The sequence below is a fragment of the Homo sapiens genome, chromosome 4 (assembly GCF_000001405.40).
Source record: "Homo sapiens chromosome 4, GRCh38.p14 Primary Assembly".
Lineage (NCBI taxonomy): Eukaryota > Metazoa > Chordata > Mammalia > Primates > Hominidae > Homo > Homo sapiens.
This window is the reverse complement of record NC_000004.12, coordinates 80,171,795-80,180,906: the sequence shown is the minus strand read 5'-3', so window position 1 is coordinate 80,180,906 and position 9,112 is coordinate 80,171,795. Positions and strand designations below refer to the sequence as shown.

Below are 9,112 nucleotides of genomic sequence, written 5' to 3'. Positions count from 1 at the left end.
GAGACCCAAAAGGAAACAGAAATTCAGCCCAAATGAATCATATTAAGAGATGAGTAGTCTCCCTGTATCTGTGGTTCTGCTTTCTGCAGTTGGAAAATAGGTGAGTACGGTATAAGATATTCTGAGAGAGGGAGAAAGGAAGACCATATTTACATAAATTTTATTACAGTATGTGATGGTTAATACTGAGTGTCAACTTGATTGGATTGAAGGATAAAAAGTATTGATCCTGGGTGTGTCTGTGAGGGTGTTGTCAAAAGAAATTAACATTTGAGTCAGTGGGCTGGGGAAGGCAGATCCACCCTTAATCTGATGGGCGCGATCTAATCAGCTGCCAGCAAATATAAAGCAGGCAGAAAAATGTGAAAAGGAGAGACTAGCTGAGCCTCCAAGCCTACATCTTTCTTCTGTGCTGGATACTTCCTGCCCTTGAACATCAGACTCCAAATTCTTCGGTGTTGGGACTTGGATTGGGCTCTCCTTGCTCCTCAGCTTGCAGACAGCCTATTGTGGGACATGTGATTGTGTAAGTCAATACTTAATAAACCCCTATATATATATATATGAGGCAAGGAGTTTACTGACTCTGTACATAATACCTTTGACCATATGTGGAGAACCAAGGAACACAATGAAGCTGGTTGCTTGCTCCTAAGTTCAGTGGACAAAATGTGGAAAGAAAATGATGAACTCAGGGATTCTGTCTCCTGGCTTCAGAAGCAGATACTGAGCCTCAAATCTGCTAAGATTGCACTAAGCGAGAGTCTTATCTCATGTAGAGAAGGAGCTAAAATTGTGGAAAAACAGACGCAAGCTCTTATCATGCCTGTGGCTCTCCTGTAATGAAAGATGCATGTACAGCTTTGCCAGGTGTCTACTGTTAAAGTAAGGGCATTGATTGGAAAAGAATGGGACCCCACAACTTGGTATGGGGATGTGTGGGAGGACCCAGATGAAGCTGGGGACACTGAGTTTGTAAACTCTGATGAACCTTTTTGACAGAAGAAACAGCTTCCCCATACACAGTAGTGAAAACATCCCCTCCCCAACCCATGCAGCTATCAGCCTTTCCACCTTTGTCTGAGGAGATAAATCCTGCACTGCCTGAGGCAACAGTGATGGCCTCCCCTGCAGCAGTTATCAGGCAAGATAATGTTGATTCTCCTCAGCAGCCACTCCCAGCTCTTTCGTTTGCTTCTAGACCTATAACTAGATGGAAGTCCTGGAGGGCCCCTAGAGGTGAGGTTGAGAGTGTGACCCATGAGGAGGGACACTATACGCAAAAAGAACTGTTTGAGTTCTCTAATTTATATAAACAGAAATCTGGAGAACAGGCATGGATATTAAGGGTATGGGATAATGGTGGAAGAAACATGGAGTTGGATCAGGCTGAATTTATTGATTTGGGCCCACTAAGTTGGGACTCTGCATTTAATATTGCAGCTTGGGGAGTTAAACAGTTTCAATAGTTTATATGCTTGGTTAGCTGAAATATGGATTAAAATATGGCCCACTGCCAGTGAGCTGGAAATGCCTAATCTCCATCGGTTTAATGTAGAGGAAGGGATCCAAAGGCTTAGGGAGATTGGGATGATGGAGTGGGTTAGTCACTTTTGACCTACTCATCCCAGCTGGGAGGGTCCAGAAGGTATACGCTTGACCAATGCCTTGTGAAAGAGATTTGTGAGGGCAGCACCTGCATCTTTGACGAGCCCAGTAATTGCTCTTCTCTATATGTCAGATCTGACAGTGGGAACCACAGTAACTCAACTACAAAATTTAAATACAATGAGAATTATTGGATCCCAAGGTGGCAGGGGCCAAGCGGTAGCACTCAACTGTCAAAGGCAAAGTGGGTATAGCTACCATAATGGACAGCAGAGGCAAAGCAGCAATCAGAATAGTCTGACTCATGTAGAGCTCTGAGCTAATTAATCACAGTGTTCCTAGAAGTGAAATTGACAGGAAGCCTATTATGTTCCTATTTAATTTATACAAGCAGAAATCTTCTAGGTCAAATGAACAAAAGACTAATTTGAATTATAAAAACAGAGAATCATAGCCCCTCAATCAATTTCAAGACTTGAGCTGGTTTACAGACCCAGAACCCCTTGAATGAAGGGGAGGCCAGGTCCCCTTGAGGAAGGACCCCACTGTATTACCGACAATTTATGCAGTGAATCTTTCTCCCATCCTCCCCCAAGGAGACCTCCAGCCTTTTACCAGCGTAACTGTGCACTGGGGAAAGGGCAATGATCAGACATTTCAGGGACTGTTGGACACTGGCTCTGAGCTGACACTGATTCCAGGGGACCCAAAATGTCATTGTAGTCCTCCAGTTAAAGTAGGGGCTTATGGAGGTCAGGTAATTATGGAGTTTTAGCTCAGGTCTGACTTACAATGGGTCCAATGGGTTCCCAGACTCATCCTGCGGTCATTTCCCCCATGCCAGAATGCATAATTGGCATAGATACACTTAGCAGCTGGCAGAACCCCCACATTGACTCCCTGACTGGTAGGGTGAGAGCAATTTTGTTGGGAAAGGCCAAATGGAATCCATTAGAGCTGCCTCTACCTAGAAAATTAGTAAACAAAAAACAATATTGTAACCATGGAGGGCTTGTGGAGATTAGTGCCACCATCAAGGACTTGAAAGACACAGGGATGATGATTCCCACCACATCCCCATTCAACTCTCCCATTTGGCCTGTGCAGAAGACAGATGGACCTTGGAGAATAACAGTAGATTATTGTAATCTTAACCAAGTGGTGACTTCAATTGCAGCTGCTGTACCAGATGTGGTTTCATTACTTGAGCAAATTAACACATCTACTGATACCTGATACACAGCCATTGACTTGGCAAATGCCTTTTTCTCCATTCCTGTCCATAAGGCCCACCAGAAGCAATTTGCCTTCAGCTGGCAAGGCCAGCAATATACCTTTACTGTCCTACCACAGGGGTATATCAACTCTCCAGCTTTGTGTCACACTCTCATTTGGAGAGATCTTGATTGCTTTTCACTTCCACAGGATATCACACTGGTCCATTACATTGGTGACATTATGGTGATTAGATCCAGTGAGCAAGAAGTAGCAAACACACTGGACTTCATGGTGTGACATTTGTGTGCCAGAGGATGGGAAATAAATTTGACTAAAATTCAGGGACCTTTTACCTCTGTAAAATTTCTACGGGTACAGTGGTGTGGGCTCTGTTGAGATATTCCTTCTAAGGCGAAGGATAAGTTGGTGCATTTGGCCCCTCCTACGACCAAAAAGGGGCACAATGCTTAATGGGTCTATTTGGATTTTTGAGGCAACACATTCCTCATTTGGGGGTGTTACTCCAGCTCACTTATCAAGTGACCCAAAAGGCTATCAGTTTTGAGTGAGGTCCAGAACAGGAGAAGGCTCTGCAACAGGTCTGGGCTGCTGTGCAAGCTGCTCGGCCATTTGAGCCACATGACTCAGGAGATCCAATGGTGCTTGAGGTGTCTGGCAGATAGGGATGCTGTTTGGAGCCTTTGGCAGGCCCCCATAGGTGAATCACAGTGGAGGCCTCTAGGCCTCCATTGCTGTCATCTTCTGGAGATAACTACTCTCCTTTTGAGAGACAGCTCTTGGCCTGTTACTGGGCTTTAGTGGAAACTGAATGTTTGACTATGGGCCAAGTCACCATGCAACCTGAACTGCCTTTCATGAACTGGGTGCTTTCTGACCCATCCAGCCACAAAGTGGGTTTTGCACAGCAGCATTCCATCATCAAATGTAGGTGGTATATATCTGATCAGCCTTAAGCGGGTCCTGAAGACACAAGCAAGTTACATGAGGAAGTGGCTCAAATGCTCATGGTCTCCACTCCTGCCACCCTGCCTTCTCTTCCCCAGCCTGCACCGATGGCCTTATGGGAAGTTCCCTATGATCAGGTGACAGAGGAAGAGAAGACAAGGGCCTGGTTCACAGATGGTTCTGCACGATATGCAGGCACCACCTGAAAGTGGACAGCTGCAGCACTACGGCCCCTTTCTAGGACATCCCTGAAGGACAGCGGGTGAAGGAAAATCTTCCCAGTGGGCAGAACTTTGAGCAGGCCACCTGGCTGTGCACTTTGCATGAAAGGAGAAATGGCCAGATGTGCCATTATATACTGATTCATGGGCTGTAGCCAATGGTTTGGCTGGATGGTCAGGGACTTGCAAGAAGCGTATTGGAAAACTGGTGACAAAGAAATTTGGGGAAGAGGTACATGGAAGGACCTCTCTGAGTGGTCAAAAACCATGAAGATATTTGTATCCCATGTGAGTGCTCAGCAATGAGTGACTCCAGCAGAGGAAGATTTTAATAACCAAGTGGATAGGATTACCTGTTCTGTGGACACCATTCAGCCTTTTTCCCCAGCCACCCCTTTCATCGCCCCAACGGGCCCATGAAGAAAGTTTCCATGGTGGCAGGGATGGAGGTTACACATGGGCTCAGCAACATGGACTTCCACTCACCAAGGCTGACCTGGCTGTGGCCACTGCTGAGTGCCCAATTGACCAGCAGCAGAGACCAACACTGAGCTCTCAATATGGCTCCATTCCTCAGGGTGATCAGCCAGCTACCTGGTGGCAGGTTGATTATATTGTACCTCTTCCATCATAGAAAGAGCAGAGGTTTGTCCTCACTGGAATAGACACTTAGTCTGGATATGGGTTTGCCTATACTGCATGCAATGCTTCTGCCAAGACTACCATCTGTGGACTAACTGAATGCCTTATCCACCATCACAATATGCCACACAGCATTGCCTCTGACCAAGGCACTCACTTTACAGCTAAAGAAGTGTGACAGTGGGCTCATGCTCATGGAATTCACTGGACTTAGCATGCTACTCAACATCCTGAAGCAGCTGGATTGATAGAATATTAGAATGGCCTTTTGAAGTCACAATTACAATGCCAACTAGGTGACAATACTTTGCAGGGCTAGGGCAAAGTTCTCTAGAAGGCCATGTATGCTCTGAATCAGTGTCCAATATATGGTTCTGTTACCCCCATAGCCAGGATTCACAGGTCCAGGAATCAAGAGCTGGAAGTGGAAGTGGCACCACTCACCATCACCTCTAGTTATCCACTAGCAAAAGTTTTGCTTCCTGTTCCCATAACCTCACGTTCTGCAGACCTAAAGGTCTTAGTTCCAGAGGGAGGAACGCTGCCACCAGGAGACACAACAACAATTCCATTAAACTAGAAGTTAAGATTTCCATCTGAACACTTTGGGGTCCTCTTACCTTTAAGTCAACAGACTAAGAAGGGAGTTATAGTGTTGGCTGGGGTTATTGATCCAGACTATCAAGATGAAATCAGTCTACTACTCCACAACGGAGGTAAGGAAAGAATATGCACGGAATACAGGTGATCCATTAGGGTGTCTCTTAGTATTACCATGCCCTGTGATTAAGGTCAATGGGAAAGTACAACAGCCCAATCCAGGCAGAACTACAAATGGTCCAGACCCCTCAGGAAGGAAGGTTTGGGTCACTCCACCAGGAAAAAAAACATGACCTGCTGAGGTGCTTGCTGAAGGTAAAGGGAATACAGAATGGGCAGTAGGAGAAGGTAGTCATAAATACCAGCTATGACCACTTGACCAGCTGCAGAAATGAGGACTGTAACTGTCATGAGTATTTCCTCCTTCTTTTGTTAAAAACATGTTTGTGCATGTATACACTTGTACTGAGAAATTATCCTCATTTTATTTCCTTTTCCTTTATCATGTGACATAAGATTAATTGACTTCATATCAGCATTTAAGTATTGTTAACTTTATGTAATAGTATTTGGATGGGGGTATTGGTGCATTTCCGGTTGTACGAAAGATAGTTGTATTATTTTAAGTGTAATTATGACCTTATTATTGTCTTTATTTGAAGATTATGTATGATCTCAGGAGATATATATGGGTTCAAGTTGACAAGGGGTGGAGTTGTGATAGTTAATACTGAGTGTCAACTTGACTGGATTGAAGGATACAAAGTATTGATCCTGGGTGTGTCTGTGAGGGTGTTGCCAGTAGAGATTAACATTTGAGTCAGTGGGCTGGGGAAAGCAGATCCACCCTTAATCTGGTGGGCACAATCTAATCAGCTGCCAGCAAATATAAAGGAAGCAGAAAAATGTGAAAAGGAGAGACTGGCCCAGCCTCCCAGCCTACATCTTTCTCCCATGCTGGATGGTTCCTGCCCTCTATCATCAGACTCAAAATTCTTCAGTTTTGGGACTTGGACTAGCTCTCCTGGCTCCTCAGCTTGCAGACAGCCTATTGTGACACCTTGTGATTGTGTAAGTTAATACTTAACAAATTCCCCTTTATATGTATATATATAATATATGTACATGTGTATATATAGGGGAGTGCACAGTATATTGTTATATGTGTTCTATTTTATCTTATTGTTCATCTCTTGCAGTGTCTAATTTATAAATCAATTATTTTCAGAGGTATGTATGTATCAGAGAAAACATAGTATATACAGCATTTGGTATTATCTGTGATTTTAGCCATCCACTGGTGGTCTTGGAAATAATTGCCCCATCCTCAGGTAAGGGAGTGCTACAAAGATGTGGACCAGGTGATGAGAACAAACGAGAGAGTGAGGGACACAGAAACCAGCATAACAAGAAGATTTTAGGAGAGGAATTAGTGTTTCTACAGTCTGCTAAGGACCAGAACCTTGGAAGAAGGGCCCAGTGTGAGACCTACAGAAACAGCTACTGACACAGAGACAATGGTGTAGCAAGGAGAGGACAGGGAAGAAATAACTCATCTTTTCTTTTCTCACATGCTCCAATTTCATGTTAATGCCTTCCAATGGCCTAACTCAACCGGAAGCTAACTAACCAGCAAGGTTCTGGAGCATGCTAACGAATCTGCATGAGTCAGCCTCTGGCAATATAGAGCCAGGAGAGGACAGAGAATGGATTTTGGAGAGACAAATGGAGAATAACCATTACATTACTACTATTATTCACAAATAGAATTATCTGAGAACTCTTTCTGAAAACATCTTTTTCATGCACAGTTTCAACTGGAAGTAAAAACTTACTGGGTTTTGTAAACTTAAGCATCCAAGATTTTAAAGAATCATTTCTCAGAGCCCTTTGGCTGGAACATTCCTAGTAGCATTTAGGAAGGATTTCCAGAAGTCTTGGGAGGCTTTGCAAGCCAAAATCTGGAAGAATTTGAGAGTATGCTTTTATTGACTTCCTTTGGGCATCCCCAGGTCTCTCATCATTTGGTGGTTTCCTGTGTCAGCACCAGTCTTACTATGCCTGGTTAGTCACTTGCTGATTGTTTTCAAGGAAGCCAGCCAGGCTTCAACAAAGGGTGACTACCTCAAAACAAATCAGCTGCACAGCAATAGGAACTCCTACTAATGGCTTCCCTTGAATTCACAAACTGTGTAGATTTTAGAATGAAGTAACATTTTCTCTTTCCAACTTTGCCATCCCTGTCTCTTCCTCCTGAACCTGAACTAACCCACAGACAAAAAAATGGAAGAGGACAGTGGTGGAGAAGCATGCTCTCTTTCCTGAAGCCTTAGATTAAAATTATACTCAAGGCCGGTTGTCATGGCTCATGCCTGCAATCTCAGTGCTTTAGGAGACTGAGCTGGGAGGATAACTTGCGACCAAGAGCTCAGGATCAGGTTGGGCAACATAGCAATATTCTGTCTCTGCAATAAATAAATAAATCAAATTATCTGATTGTGGTGGCACGTTCCTGTAGTCCCAGCTACTGAGGAAGCTGAGGTGGGAGAATTGCATGAGCCTGGGAGTTCAAGGCCACAGTAAGTTAAAATTGTGCCACTGCAATCCAGCCTGAGCAACAAAGGAAGACTTTAACTCTAAAAAAAAATTATAGCCAATATCAGAGTCTTGAATATTCACTGTAAACATCAGCACAAACAAAAGCCCGATTTCTAAATCTCATAGAAACTAAGAGTTTGAAAACTTGAGAGGACTGATATAAAGTTGGAAGTCAGTGTTTCAAAGGAGAGAGACAGAGTTAGCTATAGGAAAACAGAAAATTAGGAGTGGAAAGCAAAGAAGAGTCTTGTAAGTAACATATATAGCTGAACAATAAATACAAGTGAAATAGATTGACTTCTAGAATGGCAGTGTGGGAAACTCTGCTGAGCCACTCCTCAGTGAAACTGGTGAAAATTGTGTGTAAAGAAACAACCACTTAAATTCTCTGGAAATGGTCCTAAGGGCAAATGGTAAATAAAGAAATACCTATTAGAGGAAATTATGAATATCTGTCAAGAGAGGTGAGTCTGTGACATTTGAACTGAAACTACTACTTTCCTTGCCCCTCCCAGCTCAGTGAGGCAGAGACTCTACTCCAGACGCTGCAGCCAAGAATATGACTCTTTATATTCCTTAGGTGTCAGCTGCAGGGCTTTCATTGCAATAGGACATAACTTGAGCTTTTTTGGTCCTGCCCGTAGCTGTCTGTTGCTAAGGCTAAGTCTTAGGTGAATACAACTGGGAGGAGGAAGCTTCCTTCTCCCACCCAACACTTTCTTGTAAAAAGGAAGTTCTACCTTGGGTGTGGTGCATTGAGAATGAAACTACCTTTGCAAAAATTATGACAGTGAGAGAAATGTAACCTAGCTGACACTGCCATACTTCTAACTTAACAAGCTAACTGTGTTTGCTCATTCCTGGGTGTAGGCGAAGCTAATTGTGGAAGGAATTTAGCTTATAGTTTAACTTTAAATAAAGGATAATAGTCTCCCCCAAAAACTGACCCCCTCTGGGGACTGAAACCACCTTTGTAGGACTAATGAAAGGCCAAAAGCTTAGGATTATGAGTGGGGAATGAATTCTGGTAAGATGTAGATGTAGTTAAATGATAACCAGCCACAGTTCCGAAGATGACAAGATTTGTAAGTTCTTTAATTGCTCTTATAGATACCAACGGTATTGTCAAAACCCAATATTGGTCTTTGAGGTATTTTTCAGACTTTTGCACTTTGGCTGACCAGTTGATGCCACCTGGATCTGTGACTCATACCAGGGAACTGACTTAACCAATCCTGTGACCCCCTACCCTGAAACTG

The 9,112-nt window shown here is 43.6% G+C and overlaps 1 annotated feature.

Annotated features, from left to right (window-relative positions):
* Positions 733 to 1,381: a transcriptional cis regulatory region, noted in NCBI's record as "candidate enhancer chr4.2006 targeted for multiplex CRISPR interference". NCBI's record gives its function as "positively regulates ANTXR2 gene expression with high confidence in K562 cells {active_cell/tissue: K562}" and the evidence as "EXISTENCE:mutant phenotype evidence [ECO:0000015][PMID:30612741]".